Raw genomic sequence first — 20,311 nt, forward strand, 5'->3', positions numbered from 1 at the left:
GGTGAAATGACCATTGAATTTTAATGATAACATCAAGCTAAATTCCTGCAAAAGACATACAAGATTGGGAGCATTTTATCTTATTTTGATATGAAGAACTACCTATTCCATTGGTCCTGTATCTCTTTAAGGAAACAATTAACAAAGTATACAATTGCTACATCAATTTTAATATTTCTAGATCATTTCAAATACATAAAATATGGCATTTCTGATAGAAAAATGTCTAGATTTTATTTATTGATATCCTCCCCCTCCCTCAAATTATGCTGTATGTATGAATATTTATCCTCATTACTCCAGTGTAACTATGCACTTGTATTTTCTTCCATTCTTTAGAAATCACCAGATCTACTCCTTGGATGATAAAGCAATGCAAATTGCAGAAATTAGAGGTGAAATCAAATGGTTGAAAGGAACCCTGCTTTGATCACTTTTTGGCTAAATTGGAGAATTCATTAAGTGTTTAGATCTCAGTTAATGTGTAGGAAAAAATGTCTTTCTTTTAGGTTTGCAGAGTAGCTTAGACATATAATGTTTAAATCTGTGTATAATTCTAGCCACAAAATCTGTGATCAGAAAATATATTTCCTTTTTCTTCTTTATTGATAACAAAAGGAATGAAGAAATTATAGGTCTTTAGAGATATCAGTGTCTTTGGATCATGTGATCTGATGGAAAGAAAGAAAATCAATATTATCTGAGTGTCAGGGATATAGTAATTGCTTTCACCTATCTTGTTGTATTCTCATGATAGCTTATTGGGTGTAACCAACTACATGTTTGTGTTTCCTCACAAACGTTAATCCCCATTATGATGATATTAGAAAGTGGGACTTTTAAGAGGTAATTAGGTAATAAAGGTGGAGCCTTCATAAGTGAAATTAGTGCCATTATAAGAAGGACCACAGAGAGCTCTCTTATTCTCTTTCTGCCATGTGAGGATGCCAACAGAGATAGTAGCTTCTAAGATGGAAGAAGAATCTTACCAGAATTGAGCCTGGTCTTGGACTTCCAGCCTCCAGAACTGTGATAAATATTAGGTTAGTGCAAAAGTAATTGTGGTTTTGCCATTTTAATGACCAACCTAATAAGCTTCTGTTGTTTATAAACAACCTAGTAAGTCTCTGTTGTTTATAAAACACTCAGTCTATCGTAATTTTTTGTAACAGCTCAAACTGACTAAGATATTGAGTTTTATTGTTAATAGTTTTATAAAATAAAGATCTCAATTGGAAATGTAGAATTGTCCAATCTGTACCATCAGGTTAACAGATCAAAGAGTGGAAACTAAAATTCAGACCTGGTTATAGATTCTACCATCTTCCCATCAAAACATACTGTTCTCAAGTTTGTGTAGAGCAACAGTTGTTGAAGTATAAGACTTGTGGCATTGTTCTATATACTTAGAAATACTAGTGTTTATATTTAGATATAAAATTGTACTTTAGACAATTTAGTAAAAGATATTAAACAATAGACCTGTTTCCCTACATATAAATTAATAATACACTACATTAATTTAACACTATATATATATATTTTTAGTTAACTGATATCTAGGTAATGGCAGTATTTTCCTTTAGCAATTAAAAATGGATTCTGAATTTCTTTTCTCAGAAATTTAAATATATTACATTAAGATGTTAAGACATCTCTTTCAAACTAAGGTTACTTCAAAAATTGGTTTATCAATGTGTTAGTGATAATCAGAATTTTTTAATATTGTAAAAATAAGAGGTTTTCTAGTGAATGAAAGCTAGAAGAAAATTGAACTTTGATCTCAAAGGACAAATCCTCTTGTAATTACTAAATTCTGAATATTATATCTATTTTATATGCTCAGCACTATTTTTGTACTTTCAAAATATTTATTAAGGGAATTCAGATTGCTTTTAATGGCTTTCCTTGCTAATACCTTTATTCAAGGCTCACCATAAGCAAAATTAGACAAAAATCTAATTGAATCGTAAGTTTTTTTTTTTAATTTTCAACTGAATCTTTCCTTCCCTCTTTCCCTCCTTCTCTCTCTTCTTTGTTCTCCACCCCCACTCTCACCACCACAAGGCATATTCTAGTTCCAACACTATAACTAAATAGAAGTAAAGTTTCATGACATTCATAAGAGCCATAAAGGAGTATGTCACCTCCAGTCTGTAGCATACAATGTATCTAATAGACACAAGTAGTTACCATATGTTTTAAATTGAAAATAAGAACTTAAAATTTGGCAAAGTTTGGGAACATGATTTGTAGGTAGTTACAGTAGAGTTAGTTTTAGGTGCCAACATCACAAAATATTCCTGTCTTTCAGTGATTTATGGTGACAATGAGACAGCATTCATAAAATGAGGATAATAATAAATCTCTTGTTTGGTTGCTGCATGGACTAAGAGAAATAATATTTCCTGCCTTCATAGAGTATGGCATATGACAACTGTCTAATCCATGGTTAGATAAAGGTTAAAATGCACTATGCTCATTTTCTTTTGCCACTAGGGATGGACAAGAGACTTAGTTTTCGTCAATGGGATTTAAAGGAGAAGATTTGTGCTATTATTAAAATCATCTGAGACCAGGTGCGGTGGCTCATGCCTGTAATCTTAGCACTTTGGGAGGCCACGGCGGGTAGATTTCCTGATCTCAGGAGTGTGGGACCAGCCTAGGGAACACGGTGCAACCCTGTCTCTACTAAAAAAAAAAATACAAAAAATTAGCCGGTCGTGGTGGCAGGCGCCTGTAATCCAAGCTACTTGGTGGGCTGAGGCAGGAGAATCACTTGAACACGGGAGGCGGAGGTTGCAGTGAGCTGAGATTGTGCCACTGCACTCCAGCCTGTGTGACAGAGTGAGATTCCATCTCAAAAAAAAAAAAAAAAAAAAAAATTCTTCTAAATAGGAAAGCATTTCCAATCAGGATTTATGGAAAATGTGATTTAATTCTTGGAGACATAATGTTAAGATTGTCAGCTGAAACATCACTATGTTAAAGTAGAAAAAGATATTTAAGCATTTGCATGAATTTTTTGTTTTTTTAAATGTGCGTCTTTTCTTAATCTTGCAAATAAATGTTAACATATTTTTTAAAAAACTTAAGTAGAAAATACATTGTTTGATGAAATGATCATTTTAATCCCAAGAAAAGAAAAATTATAAAGCCTGTTCTAAAGGGCAGTAATAGTGTAAGCTGTATCAGTAATTGGAAAGTTGGATGTTCAGGTAATGAAAATAAACTAGAGTTTTCTTATGGTATGCATTGCATTTAGAGCATATACAGAATTGTTTTTAATCTTTAGCCAAGAATAATAATTTTGATGACTATGGCTATTAGTTCTAGATTATAGTAGCATCCAGCTGAGAGGCATTATAGTTATTACTATTATCCCATACAGATTTTTTTTTGTGTATTTTACTTGGTAAGTTTTAAGTTTGTGGAAGTAAATATTACCTTCAAGGAGTTAATGTGGGTACAATTTTACTGATACTGAACAGACTTAGTGTATGGTTTAGTAAGACCAAAAGTTAATAAACTAATTCTAATTAGAATAAAAATCCGTTTATAGAGACTTTACTGAGGCTTTTATGACACTGTTGTGATCATTATTGTTTCCCATTGTGAGTGGTTGGTGTCATGATCTATTAATTGTGAAATATTTTTAGTATCATCTCTGTTATGGAATGAGTTATGTTTTCTCACAATTTATATACTAAAGCTGTAACTTCCAATGTAACTGTATTTGAAGACAGATCCTTTAAGGAGGTAATTAAGGTTAAGTGAGGTCATAAGAATTGGTCCCTAATCCAAAAGGACTGATGTCCTTATAATAAGAGGAAGAGACACCAGAGATTTCTCCTTCTTTCTGCAGGCATAGAGAAAAGGCCATATGAGTACACAGCCAGAAGGTGTCTGCCTACAAGACAAAGAGGGAAAACTTACCTGAAACCAACCCTGATGGATATTGGATTTCTAAGCTCCAGAACTGTGAGAAAATTAATTTTATGTGCTTTAAGACACTCAATTTGTGGTATTCTGTTATGGCAGCCTATGCTAGTCAATTTGCATTACCATAAAGCAACACCTGAGAGTGGGTAAATTATAAAGAAAAGAAGTTGAATCGGCTCATGGTTCTGCAGGCAGTACAGAAGCATAGTGCTGGCAATTGCCCCTGGCAAGGGGCTCAGGAAGCTTACAAACATGGCAGAAGGCAAAGGGAAGCCAACATATCACACGTAAGCTCAGGAAGCTTACAAACATGGCAGAAGGCAAAGGGAAGCCAACATATCACGTGGCGAGAAAGACAGAGAAGCGGTAGGTCCCAGACTCTTTTAAACAACAAGACCTCATGTGAACTGAGGGGAAACTCACTTTCACCAAGGAGATGGTGCTAAACCACTAATGAGGGATCTGTCCCATGAGCCAATCACCTCCCACCAAGACCTACCTCCAATTTTGGAAATTATATTTCAACATGAGATTTGGAGGGGACAAACATCCAAACCATATCCCAGCCTGAGCAGACTAACAGAGTCTCTGAATAAATCTATGAAAATGACTAGAGTATTATTTTGTTGAGTGATTTCTTCTTGTATTAGGATTGGTCTCCTTGAAAATATTTTTCTCATATCTGTTATAATAAAATACTGAGAATCATACTAATTCTACTCTAAACTTAGATATTTAAGAGGGTTGGATTTGACTGATTGCTCTGATGTTGCTAACATAGTCAAAGACTTTTCAAAACTAAAGTGTAATATTATGTCATGCAACCTTGAGAAAATTACAATGGACAAAGCAGAACTATAATTCACAATTCATCTCCCAAACAAATTGTGACACCCCTTCTTTCCAATCCACTGAAATATGCCTAAAATGAGAAAAAAGGGAAATCTTAAAAACAACAACAACAACAACAAAGAAAAAACAGAAAACGGCAACATTCAGGCAAAAAAGAATGTGAGGACTATGATGCTGGCATGCTAAACTTAATTAATAATAAATGAGAGAGTTTGGAATGATTATATGTGAATGAGTTTCAATCCTGATATCTTTTCCCTTCATTTTTTCACCTCAAAGACCTAGTCCATCAGCATCTTTTATTACTATCATCAGCCTTCCAGAGCCTCTGCCAAGATGTCTGCTGCCTGGAGCCCATGGGTATATGTCCCAATTAGTCATAGCCCAGGGTCAAATGTGTCATTCCAGAGAGCCAACAGTTCATAGCTAATTTACGTTTCCTTGTCAAAATGCTTAAACCACGTATTTTAGAGCAGTAACTAGAAAAACTAGGAAATAAAAACTTGAAAAATGTCAACGGGAAATGACTTTTTCCTCGGTTAGCATCTGCAATATACTTATCTTAAATATTTTCTGCCTTTTGACCATCTTCCATGGTCGATATTTATATTATAATTTGTCATTATCGAAAATTGATCCCTGTATCAATTTCTGCTTATCTTTAGACAATATTGAAAATGACCCTGGATTTTGTTTTTTAAGCTAAAAAATTCTGGTTCACACATGAAACTTCCAAAAAATAATTGTTTTCCTGTATCTTGAAGAAAACAAATTATGTGCTTCAAGAACTCAAGTTATTTTTAATCATGTTTTTAAAAACATGATTATGTAGTATCCATTTCTGTCATATTATTGTCAAACAGAAAACACTTACATCATTCGACCACCTTAGGGTGCTTTCCATTGGAATCTCTATAGCACCACTGATTTTTTTTTTGAAATAGGTTCTCACTCTGTCACCCAGGTTGGAGTGCAGTGGTGTGATCATAGCTTACTGTGGCCTGGGACTTTTAGGCTCAAGTGATCCTCCTGCCTCAGTCTCCCAAGTAGCTGGGATTACAGGCACCAGCCACCATGCCAGGCCTGGTTAGTCATTTGTATATAGCATGTGTCAAATTCATATAAATGTTTTGTTATTGCTATAACTACTCCAAAGGTTTTGATAATTTACATACACCATGTTGTACTTACTGTCTCTTGGTCGCTGCGTTACATGTTGAGATAATACTTGTGAATGAGACAGATGCCTGGAGGTGAAAAACAAACCTAGTCAAAAGATATGCTTCGCATAATTGTTTATAAAGTAAAAAATTAAAGGTAACTGAATGCTTATCAATATTGAGCTGTTTTATATCTATACCAGAAAGTATAAGGCAATACTTTAAAAAATGTGTAAAACCTTGTAAACTCACATAAAAAAATTTAGAGACATGTTAACTGACAAAAGGAAGACGAACATTTTGTTTTGCTTTATCTCATTTATGGGAAAAATCGACAAATCAAAACTCCCTTGTGTGTGTGTATGTGTGTGTGTGTGTGTGTGTACATGTGAACATGCCCATGTGTAATTATAAATATATAGAAAAAAGAACTAGATATCTTAACTTCTCACTAAAAAAATACCTTCTGTACAGGAGAATGGTTTGGAAATTGAGACTAATCAAGGAGTAACATTAATTTTATCTGTACTATTTAATTTTTTATTATCAAGATTATATCCATGTGTTACTATTGTAAATAAAAAAGCATGAAAGACAAACTTCAATGAATAAAATAGTTAATAAAGTTTAGATATAACTTCAATTTAATCAGCAAATTATAAGAGCAGCTAGCAAAATTCTTTCAAATACTAGATATTATTTCTTTAAGCTGAAGGAAATACAACTACATTCAAAAAGCTAGCCAGTTATTAGGTAAAATTTCTTGGAAGAAAAATACACATAGTGAAAATCTGGTAAGTATAAATTTTAATAATAAAGAAAGAGATTTGCACACAACCAGCCTGTAAAAACAAAAAACAAAACCCCAAAACAAACAAAAAAGCCACCCAAAACAGTAACAACAATGTATTATCTTTATTTCCAAAGAAGAAAACAATCAATGTACATCTCAACTTCCCTGTGAAATAGATAAAAGGCTGATGATAAGCAAATAAAGCAAAACAACATACAAAATAACATAATTGCTGTTAAGAGTTAGACACATGTCAAATAAAATTTGGAAAAAAGGCAGTAAAGTAAAAATAATTAACAATAAAATTAAATATTCAAAACAATAAGCATCTAAAAATTTCAGATTGTAGAAATAAACTGTAGAAAGACGTTGTGAAGAAAAATAAAAGTATTTTCTCATTTTATTTCATATATAAGAAATTGCTTAAAAGATAGAATGTTATCACTGATGATTAAAATAGAAAATGAAGAATAATATTTTAGCAACTTTAAGAATAGCAAAATATGTATGTAGAATGTATGAGAAGTATTTAAAAATATATTCAAATAAATTATGATCTATAGAGACATAGATAAACTAATGAAAATCAGAAGGTGTAAAAAAAAGACATTCTACACACTATGATACAAGTAACATCTGATGAATTAGCCATGCTGATAACTGCCAATTTATTAAATTTTTCTATTAAAAATACATTTTGTATTAAAAATAAATTATATGATATCATTGATTGTAATCTTAGATCTCAAAATGACTAGAGTGTAATTTATGCGGTTATTTACATATTTATATAGACATACATAAACTAAACATACACATATCCTTTTATGTAATTGAAAAATGAAAAATAGATGTATTTATATAAGTGAATATACATGTAAAAGTATATATATTGGTCTGTCTGAGTTTAATAAATGCTATATATATATATATATATATATATATATAATCTGTTCATGTCTGAATTTAATTCCTACTTTGAGACTTATTCCACTGATATCATAAACCTAATCTGTCAGTTTTAGTGAAGTCTTTTCAAGTTTTCCTCAGTCAATGCAGGCATCTAGCTCACTTACCAGAGTTGTTTTTCACCTGTCTGTGCTGATTTTTCTAATACATTTATGCTTTCAAAAAGTCTCTGATTTTTAGTAGATCATGGCAGCTTCTCTTTTACACCATACATGAAGCTCTCTTAGGCCTATCCCTTTCCATTGGCTACTTCTATACCTCTCCTGACCTTATGAGAGTCATTTGGTTGCTTCTCAGTCAAAGTGAACACAGGAAAACTTGGTGAGGGGATATGGGGCCAAGTATTCCTGCCCAAATAACAAGTGGAGCCGTATCTTCGACTACTGCTTGTATGCTATACAGTTTAGTTCCTCCTTCGTAACAGCAATAGATTGGCCCTCTTCTCTTAGATCCTTCAGACACGGTTGTGTTTTCAATATGTATTTTCTTCTCTGCTATGATAAAATTTAAATTTACAAAGTCCCTTCTTTAAGATACATAGAAGTTCAAGAGAGTATAACTCTTGATTTCTAACTAGTTCTTTTCACTCCCCCAGCTAAGAGAATCTTCATCTTCTATTATCAGAAGAGAAGAACTCCCAGCTTTCACATATTTTCTCCTCACATATTTATTTATTTATTTAGGCCCTTGCATTTAAAATCCAAAAGCGAGTATTTTACAGTTTGATTATAAGAGTCTTTCCTTGAGATAATGCTGTATTTAGGGCAAAAACATATAAAATCGAGGACTGTAAAAGAGGAAAGAGGCCAGGCACAGTGGCTCACACCTGTAATCCCAGCACTTTGGGAGGCCGAGGCGGGCAGATCACAAGGTCAGAAGATCGAGACCATCCTGGCTAACACGGTGAAATGCCGACTCTACTAAAAATACAAAAAAAAAAAAAAAAAGAAAGAAAAAGAGGAAACAAAAGGTAGTTAATACAACAAAGTTTATCATTTGCATAATACTCTTTAAAATCAAAAAAGAGATTGAAAAATTACAATTAATATAGAAAAATATAATGCATATTTATGTCTCTGACCAAAAATAAGGAAAATTTAGGACTTGAAAATGAATTCATAGGTTGAAATATCAAATATGTAATAATATGTCATTCTTTCATATATGTTCATTATTATATTTAAGATAATGCTAAAAATTCATAATGTCAATGCAATATCCTTTCAAAATTATATTAAATTGTGAAACTTTATAATAATCTGCATAGTTATCACCAATAATCTCTGAACAGAAGGCAATAAAATTAAAGATAAAACAAAAAATATGTAACATTGCTTTAGAAAAAATAACACCCATTCCCCCAAAAAAATCAATTTAGGAATGAAGTTCAAATTGTATAGGCAATTTTGTAGAAATGTAATTATGCAGAACTTTTGGAAGATGAAGATATATTAATGTGTTGTAATAATAGGAGCTAATTGTTCTGGTTAGTGAGAGATTTGAGTCATTAAATAAGGAGCTATAAAATATCTCTGTGCCTCAATGTACAGATGAACTCTCTTGTTAGGACAAAAGGCAAATGTGGGGTGAGTGGCTTTTTTAACACCTTATTGTGGCAGGGACTTAAGCGTACTCACCATAGGGACTCAAAGGAAAAAAAAAACATTAATAAATAAATAGTAAGTCCTCCATATGGTGCTCAGCTCAGTCAGCTCAACATATATGTATCATAGAGCTGTTCTCCGAGAATAGGCGAGGAAATTTCATATCTTATAGAATTATTTCTTAAAAAAACACACGAGAATATTGTTTTCCTCTTCAAGCTTATGTGGTCCTATTTATTCAATTACTTAACTAGCAGGAAAGATTCTATATTGTTTCTAATTTCTGAGACACAGTGGCCAAAAATGTCCAAAGGTTGTTTTCAATTTGATGTTTACTTCATATTATTATTCATTGAATTCTCACATCATGCTTTAAAAATAATTCATATGTAACATGTTGAATCACATCCTTCTGTCTTTAACTGGCCTCATGAATCTTTAAGTCCTAATTCTTGGTTGTTTTAATGTATATGTGAATACCACTATAATGTTAATTAATACCTCTATATTTTCCTATCTATATACTTCTACATATTTTCTCCATACATGTTTCCTTTTTCTTTGGTTTTCTAACATCTGATAAAAAATTGAGTTTCATAAAGGGCAAAGTCTTAAATATTGCACTCTTGAGCATTTTATTTCATAGTTTTAAATTAACACAAATACACAATATATTTTTCTTTTTTAAAATGAAATTTGAGATAAAAATATTTAATGTATTGCTTAAGATTCTCATGTGTCTGATATAACACATTTGTAACAATGCTATCTAATCATTAAAATATCTATTATTGATAGATAATGGATCAATTATGAAGAAAAATATGTGCACATAGAATGGGTGTTTCATTTTAGATCATTAATTAGTTTTTGATTGCTATAAAACAAATTACCATAAATTTCACATCTCAAATCAACATAAATTTATTATCTCATGTGTTTTGTGTGACAGGATTTGAATACATATTAGTTGGCTCTCAACAAGGTGAAAGCAAGATTTCAGTAGGGATTTGATCTCATCTGAGGCTCCTGTCTTCTTTCAAGCTCACATGGTTGTTAGCAGAATGTTTCTTCTTGTGGCTCTGTGACTGAGGTCTAGTTTTCTTGTTGGCTGTCACCTAAAAACCACTCTCAGCTCCAATATCTTGCCATGCAACCCTCTCAATAGGCCCTCATACACAGCAGTTTGCTTCTTTTTGAGTCCAGTAGGAGAGTATCTGTCTTACACTACACCTTCGTTTAGAGAACTCACCTGATTAGGTCAAATACATTCAGAAAATTTTCTTATTTTATTAACACAAAGTCAACTGATTAATAAGCTAATCAAAAGAGTGAGGTTTCATCTTTTTTCCAGCTCAGCCTATTTACTCAAGAAGAAAAAATTTCATAGAAATGTACATGGAGTAAGTAGAAAATGTTGGAAACTATTTTAGGTTGAATTGCATCTCTCCAAAATTTATATGTTACCGTCCTAAATCCTAGTACCTTTGTCCTGAGACAGAGTATTTCAAGAGATAATTCAGTTAAAATGAAATCATTAGGCTTGGCCCTAGTTCGGTAGGAATGATGTACTTATAAGAAGGGGAAATTTGGACACATACACACACAGAGGAAAGATAGCGTGAAGACGCAGGGAGAAGACCACTATCTGCCAGTGATTGGATTCAGGACATGCTACCCCATAATATGGTACTTTGGCATTTGGGAAAACAGTGGAAGCAGTAAGATACATTCACCTTCTCTTCATTCTTTTTCCTGAAGCAACCCATAAAACCTAGGAGGGTCGCTCTCCGATCTTCTCTTTTCCTTCTTCCCTGAAAACCTTCATGTGGCAGGTGTCCTGCCCTACCTAGGGGAAAGGAATGACACACAGTGATGCTAAGAAGAATCTGAACAAACAGGCTTTGCCAATTTATTACCAATAGATCGTACCCTTCTGTCCTCCAATCCTATCTCTGCACATCCGTCTATAAAAATACACATATTTCTCCATTTTTTTGAGTCTTCATTTTGATGGCTCCCATGTCATATAAAATTGATATTAAATAAATTTGTATGCTTTTCTCTGGTTAATCTGCCTTTTGTTATGGGGGTGTCAGCCATCAGCCTTGTGATTGGTGAGGAAAAGATATTATTTTTATCCCCGACGGTTTCTGGTACCCAAACCGGGGAAGCTCAGACACCCACTCACTCTGCAGCCTACAGATGAGATCCGGCGACAACTGAGAAAAAGCTGACAGAAAGGTAAGAATTTTTACCCAGGTCAGCCCTCCCAGATCTCTGATAGTGGTGTCCAGTTGAAACAGAAAATTTCTTCTTTCCCTTCCTTACCAAATTCAGAGTAGCAGGATAAAATCATTTGTTTGAAAGGTCACTCTTGTGTAAATTTGGTTTTAGAAGATCCATTAGTTACTGATTTTCTTCTCTCCCAGGGATGGTTATCTCTTTCCTGTTCATCTAATTTTATGTCCTGTGAGCTTGGCTTTATAACCAGTGAGATTATTCTTTCTGATCTCTCCCAGCTAGAGGGTGCAAGTATTGTTTTGTGTCAGGCAGCCAGTAGAATATGCTGGGAGTCCAAGAATTTTTTGTTTGGCAGTACCAGCTCTCAAGAGAGTTTGTCATCTCAACCCTTCTTGCTTGGTTAGTTGTTCACCCTAGTAATCTGTGACCAGAGGCATTCTATGTTTTATAGGAGATGAGAGATGTCATTTTACAGGCAACAAAGATTTTTTTCTTTCTTTTTGCTTTCTTTGGAAGTGGTTTTAAATCTTGGGAGGGCTGCATCTATTTTCTGCACCCAGTTTGTTTTCTGTTTTCTTTTTTCTTTTTTTTTCTTTTTTTCGTTGAGAGAGGGTTTCACTCTGTCACCCAAGCTGGAGTGCAATGACACCATCATGGCTCACTGCAGCCTGAAACTCCTGGGCTCAAGTGATCCTCCCACCTCAGTCTCCAGAGTAGTTGGGATCACAGGCATGCACCACCACACCTGGCTAATTTTTATTTTTAGTAGAGGTGGTCCCTCGCTATCTTGCTGGGGCTGTTCATGAACTCCTGGGCTCAAGTGATCCTCCCACTTTGGCCCCGCAAAGTTCTGGGATTACAGGTATGAGCCACCACACCCTGCCTTGCATCCTATTTGAAGGACATCTCTTTTGTCCAAGGATAAGTTATTAAAGGCTTATTGGTTTGGGTTCTGAGTCACTTCACAGGTACTGTTGGTTTAAAAGAAAAAGAAAGGGGCCCCGTGTGGTGGCTCATTCCCGTAATCCCAGCACTTTGGTAGGCCAAGGCAGGCAGATCACTTGAGGCCAGGAGTTGGAGACCAGACTGGGCAACATGGTGAAACCCTCTCTGTACTAATAATGCAAAAATTAGTCCGGCATGCTAGCGTGTGCCTGTAATCCCAGATATTCAGGAGGCTGAGGCAGGAGAATTGCTTGAACCTGGCAGGCAGAGATTACAGAGACCTGAGATTGCACCATTGCACTCCAGCCTGGGGGACAGAGTGAAACTCTGTCTCCAAAAAAAGGTAAAAAAGAGATCAATACTTCTAGAAATATCTGTTGTTTGTCCTGACTGAAACTTGATGATAAAATATTTGAGAAACTTATTTTTAAGAGCTCTGTGGTCAGAAGTTGGCCTAACTGAAAGCTGATATTTAAATTCAGGCTATGTATATATCAAATATATCATACTTATACTGTACACAACATATATAAAAGATTATATTACATATAATGTATATAATATAAAAATGTATTCAGAAATTCAGAATTGTCATTAAATACCATGAATATATAATTTTCTACTCAGATTTATAAGTATATAAACCTTATGTTTCTGTTGGATTCTGCTTTTCCATGAACTCTTCTTAGTGGACTAAAATCCTATTTTCAAACCCCTGCTAACTATATGCTCTGCCTTTTCTTATTTGTTTACTATTTTTTTTTCTTGGAATGTTTTTTGCCAATAATAATGTAAAAATTCATTGGCCTCTTTGAGAAACTTAAGATCTCCCCATACTGGCTCCTCTAGGACCTCTTCTTTCCATTTATTTCTGCTTTCTCTTCTTCTTTTTTGACTTCTTGGATTTTCCCTTCAGTTTTTTTTTCTTTTTGAATCCTTGATATATCCCTTTTCAATCCTCTACCTCCCGTTTCAAGCCACTACCTCCCCCATCTCTCTGTCCACACCTGACAGACATTTTTCCACTCCAGCCTCTCAGTCCCTTGAGTCCCTTGTTCTCAAGGGTCTCAAGCTCCCCTCTAAAGTAACCACTTGAAGATAGAAATAAAATAAGACTATGTGGAAATAAATATTTTGTCTATTTAGAAGGGCTTTGGAGAAAAACAGCTGCTAGATCTCTTCTAGTCACTGGCCTAAAAGCTAGCCCGCCACCTCAGGAAGATTGACCTCTGTTAATATGCAAATATCATCTGAAACTCCCTCTTAGAGAAATGTAGATTCTTTCTGTGTGCATCCGATATGTTAATTTTCTATCCTGTCTCTTCTAAACATGGTAGTTATCTTTTGGGAATTAAAAACTTCAGGAGATTACTGTCTCTCACACACACACACACACACACACACACACACACACACACACACAGTTTGGAAATTGGGCAAATGAAAAAGTTTAAAAGTCTTTTCCAGAAATAATAAAATGTTTTTTCCATGTAAGCAGGTAATCTTAAGTTGTCCCATTTTTGTCAGAAATGAAATTTGATAAAAATGTAAGTTGAGATTAGCCAGTGAGCTCATATTTCCATGTTTTACTGACTCACGACTAAAATTTTAAAATGGAAGCTATGATATTTGTATCTGTCTGTATATTTGTATATGTTTTTGTATTTATGTTTGTAGGTTATTTCTGTGTGTGATCTTCTCTACCACTTGATGGTATTATTAATTTATAGAATCACATAAATAAGTTCTACTAGAATTTGCTTAGAGATAAATGAGTGCTTATGTAAATTAAGTATTCCTAAAACTTTCAGACATATAGAGACTAACCCAAGTTTTTTGTTTTTTTTTTTAACTTGACCTAATATGAAATAAACTTTGATAGATAAAACTAGTTTAAATATTACTGGTAAAATAAAAACAAGAATGTGTTAATAATTGTCATTAAATACAATGCAAATATACATTTTTTTCTACCCAGGTTTACTAGTCAAACATGCCTACGCTATCTCTACCAGATGTTTAAGGTTACAAAACTATAATTACAACCTAAGAGCAAATATGCAATAAAAATGAATTGACTGATGAATAGAAGTTTAAAAAAAGGGAGGGAGGGGGAAAACCATGTTTAACTTCCTTTGCTTCTGTGATATTTGTGATACTTGCTTGACTTGTCTACTAGAAAAACAAGATAACAGTTAGCTTTGACTAGTGTCTAATGGAATTTTGATGAAGAATTCAATCATAATTGTTAAGAACAAGGGTATTAAATAGAATATAACTGGGATAAATGTTTATAAATAAACTTTTCACATATCATTATGTTTATAAGTAGTTGAAAAATCTTTTTGGTAACTGTAATCCTAATGTTATGCTAAGTTAAATTAAGTAATAGGTAATAATTCAATGTCTGGGTCACTTCAGTTCTATGTAGTACTGAAACATTAACTGCTGAACCTGAGTTTATCTGCTTTTGGGCTCTTAAATTGTATAGAAAGATAAAATATGTTGAGTCTGTTAATAAACATGAAAAATTATACTATGAAGAAGGACGTGTTTCTACAAATTATGAAATAGTGTTCATCTATACATTGTTGGTATAATAAGTAACAGTTTCTTACTTTTCAGTTTTCACTGGAAATTAAGGTTACTAAAGGTTAAAAATTATAATTAATATATAGAATTAAAACCACTGCAAATTATAAAGGAGACAATTATATATGCTAAATGTGTAAGAAAAATGAGATACATTTTTGACAAGAGAAGTTATAAGTCATGAGGATTTTTTTTGTTGTTGTTAAGAGAAAAAGGAATAATTCTGGATTTGTATTAGGGTTCTCTGGAGGGACAGAACTAATAGTATAGATGTATATATAAAGGAGAGTTTATTAAAGGGGAGTATTGACTCACACAATCACAAGGTGAGGTCCTACAATAGGTCGCAAGCTGAGGAGCAAGGAAGCCAGTTCGAGTCCCAAAGCTGAGGAAGTTGAAGTCCAATGTTGAAGGGCAGGAAGCTTCCAGCACAGGAGAAAGGTGTAGGCCGGAAGAATAAACTAGTCTGATCTTTCCACGTTCTTCTGCCTGCTTTTATTCTGACCGCACTGGCAGCTGATTATGTTGTGCCTACCCAGATTGAGAGTGCGTCTGCCTTTCCAAATCCACTGACTGAAATGTTAATCTCCTTTGGCAACATCCTCACAGGCACACTCAGGAACAATACTTTGTATCCTTCAATCCAATCAAGTTGACACTCATTATTAACCATTACAGTATTAAAGTAGAATAACTGGTTATTCCACAATAAGAAAGAGAAAAATGTAGAGAAAAAAAGAAAGATGAACAAAAAAAAAGTTTCTTAGAAAAAGTTTTGAAAAAGGAATCTTATCTTGTGCAGTCAGGGCTGGCTAAGATTGGATGCATGTATTTATTTTTTAATAGTCCTAGTATTAATAGTATACTGATGCAAAACTAAAATTTGTTTTCTTTTCTCAAAATGAAGAAGTTTTTTGTTGTTTGGGTTTCTTATTTGTGCTGGTGGTCTGTTCTTAATTAAGAAATCATAAAAAAATTGTTTTTCAGCCTCATAAGTAATCTGCCTCAGAAACAAATATTTTGTGTTTCATTAAGATAATTTTCTGTGCTTTACATTGTCCTCATTAGGTATTTAATTACTTAAGAAAAGTGCATCTTCTCAATATTAAAAAAGCTATGTCTATATGTAACTGAGTAACTTTTTATATTTGCTTTCAATTTCTTTTATCACTTTGGTATTATTTCAGAGTGACCTATAATCCCATTTACTCAAGTATTTTAAATCTTTGACATTTTTGACAACTTACCAAAATCAAATTATAAAATAAGTCTTTTTGATCTTGCACTAATTTTTAGACTTTTCAGATGGGCCCCTGAAACATCTGAAAACAATTTATTGTCTCTCCTTATAAAAGAGGGATTTTAAAGTAATTAGGTTTATTTGATATGCCCTACATAGGAGTCATTGTCAAATATTAAGTGATACTTTCTTTAAGTTATATTTGTTATTGATGTGATTATTTCAAAAAACGGATATAATTTCCACAAATGTATATGGCCTTGTATAATGTCGTCAGTAATAATTTTGGTTATTATCTCAAAATGTTGTGTGCCACAGAAATAATAAAATTTCATTGTCAGTTTCATCATTATTATAATATACTCTCATCAGATCTTACCCATGACTATTTTAAGTCTTTTGTCATCCATAGCCAATTATTGTTTTACTCAAATTATTTTATGAAAGTGTTTGCAATCAGTTACATTCCCAAATGGCTTCTTTTTTCAATGAGATAAGAAAAAGACTCTGACAATTTATCTAGAATGCAAGTTTCCAATAACTTTAAATCATACCACTGGACTAAGTAAGAATTTCCAGAACTCTAATGAAGAAACTGAAGAGTTTTTGAAAGTATTTATCAGATTAAGTGGAACAAGAACTGATTACATGGGGCTGAATGAAGTGAAGGGTATAAATGTTTTTGTGAGTTTTTGTTTGAAACATTGCTGGTTCTTTAATGTTTTGTTTTCCAGATTTAAGGAAATGTATTGTTTATTTTTCTTAAGCTATCTATGGCTTACAAAATTTTTGAAAAGTATATCATGGTGAACAAAACTTCACCAATTATTTTTTCCCTACCTGATTCCTCCAGAACTTGAAAACTACTCATTAGTATTATACATTTTATGGCAATATATAGTTATTTGCATAAGTTTAATAAGAATCTGTTATCCTTGTAACGGAACAAATTTGGAAACTCTAGTTATAGTACCAAGGCTTTAACTGGAATGTTACATTTTCAGATATAACCAGACAACTTTAAATAACTTTGGTTGACTTTATTAAGTCAATAAAGCCTCTCAGAAAAAACAAAAACATAGTATTCCATGGTGTATATGTGCCACATTTTCTTAATCCAGTCTGTCATTGTTGGACATTTGGGTTGGTTCCAAGTCTTTGCTATTGTGAATAATGCCGCAATAAACATACAGGTGCATGTGTCTTTATAGCAGTATGATTTATAGTCCTTTGGGTATATACCCAGTAATGGGATGGCTGGGTCAAATGGTATTTCCAGTTCTAGATCCCTGAGGAATCGCCACACTGACTTCCACAATGGTTGAACTAGTTTACAGTCCCACCAACAGTGTAAAAGTGTTCCTATTTCTCCACATCCTCTCCAGCACCTGTTGTTTCCTGACTTTTTAATGATTGCCATTCTAACTGGTGTGAGATGGTATCTCATTGTGGTTTTGATTTGCATTTCTCTGATGGCCAGTGATGATGAGCATTTTTTCATGTGTTTTTTGGCTGCATAAATGTCTTCTTTTGAGAAGTGTCTGTTCATGTCCTTCACCCACTTTTTGATGGGGTTGTTTGTTTTTTTCTTGTAAATTTTGCAGCCATAAAAAAGTGATGAGTTCATGTCCTTTGTAGGGACATGGATGAAATTGGAAATCATCATTCTCAGTAAACTATCGCAAGAACAAAAAACCAAACACCGCATATTCTCACTCATAGGTGGGAACTGAACAATGAGATCACATGGACACAGGAAGGGGAATATCACACTCTGGGGACTGTTGTGGGGTGGTGGGAGCGGGGAGGGATAGCATCGGGAGATATACCTAATGCTAGATGACGAGTTAGTGGGTGCAGCGCACCAGCATGGCACATGTATACATATGTAACTAACCTGCACAATGTGCACATGTACCCTAAAACTTAAAAGTATAATAAAAAAAAAGAAAAAACAAAAACAAAAACAAACAAGCAAACAGAAAAATGCCTGGTATTCTGCTATTCTGCATACATGGTTCCCATGCAGGTGAGTAAAGAATGTGTTCCTAGTAAGCCCAGGAACATCAGAATATTTGGAATATTTGGGAACCTCAAAAGAGTGGAATTCAGTCAAGTCTATAGGAATTTGAGAAGTAATCAAATGGTTAACACTTGGCTTGGCTTCTTAGCCAGGCAAAGCTTTTAAATTTCGAATCTGAGATTCCTTATTCAAAGTTCTTGAAAAGCAGACTGAAATGACTATGCGATCAATCACTTGCTGCATTTATGTAACTAATTGGGCCATGTTTAATGAAAGTAGAATTATTTTGCAAATAAATAAATTTTACCCTAATTATTTTTGAAAAAAGTTTAATATGGTTCCGGAAAGAAAAAATATGTTTTATGAAAAACTATAACAAACTCTTGTGGGCATTAGATCCTCATTCTGTTTATTCTTTTGGAGGTTTTGTTATTTACCTATGATCTGAACTGAATCCTGAATTCTTCTAGTTTTCTTTCATATCTGGTTACAACTACACAAATTAATAATACTTTCAATTTTTCTCCAATCCTTCTTGGTTGAAATCCTTAAAATTATAACTTGCCTATTTCTGAAGCCCTGCAAGTAAAACTGGATATCTCTATATAGACTTCAGATAAATCTACAATACCTTATACATGGACAAACTTCGTCCTGTCACTCAGGAAGCCCATCAAAACACCCAAGGCTAACTGTATTCCAGGAAAACCTGTCAAATTGCCGTTGCCTGACTTCACTCTACCTGAGATGTTTAGAGCTCAACTTCTAGAAATCTCAACTGGCTACCCTCTAAACTCACAAACTGAATTTATAGTTTGTTCTAACCATTAATATTTGCTTTTCTTTTCTTTCCATCAGAATGCCTCTTGTTAAATACTTAACTGATAATTACCACTTAGAAACCTAACTTTCGTGGGAGCCCACCTGCAACACTACCTTCTTAAATGAGACACATCTGTTAACCGTCCAACTGGACGGAGACACTAGTTCAATGTTTTATGGGATAATCCACAAAGTAGTCTCTGGACTGTGAAACTTCTTTGGGAAGTGTTATACAGGAGGATAACGGGGTTCATGACAAGCTAACCCAACACATGTCATCTTGCCATCTAAGAAGACAGCAGAAGGAGGAAGTCCATAGCCACCTTCTTCTTGCCTTTTCTTGAAGCAAGCCATATAACCTAGGTCACTCTGACTTTCTCCCTGTCTTCTCCCCTGATAACCCTCACCGTGTTAAAAATGACAAAAGTCCTGACCTATACCCACAGGAAAGGAATGTCCATCTAGGGATGCCAAGAATATTCTGAACATACAGGTCTTGCTGACCCTCTCTCCTTGTTTATCACCATTAAATCATATCCCTTTGTCTTTAAATTATACTTCTGCACAACTATTGATAAAAAATATACCTATTTACATATTTATTTAGTTTTTGATTTCTCAAGCCTCTCATGTCATGTAAAAATTATGTTAAGTAAATGTATATGTTCTTCTCTTGTTGATCTCTTTTTTGATCTCTTTAGTTATGAACCTTGGAATCGGTGAGGGAAAGATTATTTATCGACCCTACAAAAATGAAAGTGAAAAGAGAAATCCTGATTTCACATATCTAGCTCCCAGAATTGTGAGGAAACAAATATCTATTAAGCCATCCAGTCTCTGGTACTTTGTTATCACAGTACTGTAATATAGGAAACAACTTAGAAATATGCCTGCCACAGGCTAGAAACATTTTAACAATGAAAATTCATTCATTTATTCTTGAAACAAACAGCAACTACAGCTTACATATATGTCAATTTGAAGTTGGTTTAAGTACTCTGTTAAACTGGTATTTCAGCAAACTATGGTTTCAATAGTTTAATCATAAATAAATAATATCAAAAAACTTAGTTAAATACATTCCAAAGGAAACTCTCTACTTTTATATGCTTTCCTTTTAAGGAT

The 20,311-nt window shown here is 33.7% G+C and overlaps 1 long non-coding RNA gene across 9 annotated transcripts in view; it reads left to right on the forward strand.

Moving 5' to 3' along the window:
• The window catches only part of LOC105374191 (uncharacterized), a 237,185-nt gene that overhangs the window by 164,773 nt on the left and 52,101 nt on the right, over window positions 1–20,311 (forward strand). For 5 of the 9 annotated variants that reach the window (XR_924663.2, XR_924659.3, XR_924661.3 and 2 more), the window contains exon 3: window positions 3,866–5,016. This is a non-coding gene — a long non-coding RNA (uncharacterized LOC105374191). Of the gene's footprint in view, window positions 1–339; window positions 1,044–3,865; window positions 5,017–20,311 lie in introns of those variants that run through there. The other 4 variants (XR_001740998.2, XR_001740999.3, XR_007096284.1 and 1 more) reach the window with 3 other exon arrangements.

The sequence above is a fragment of the Homo sapiens genome, chromosome 3 (genome assembly GCF_000001405.40).
Source record: "Homo sapiens chromosome 3, GRCh38.p14 Primary Assembly".
Taxonomy (NCBI): Eukaryota; Metazoa; Chordata; class Mammalia; order Primates; family Hominidae; genus Homo; species Homo sapiens.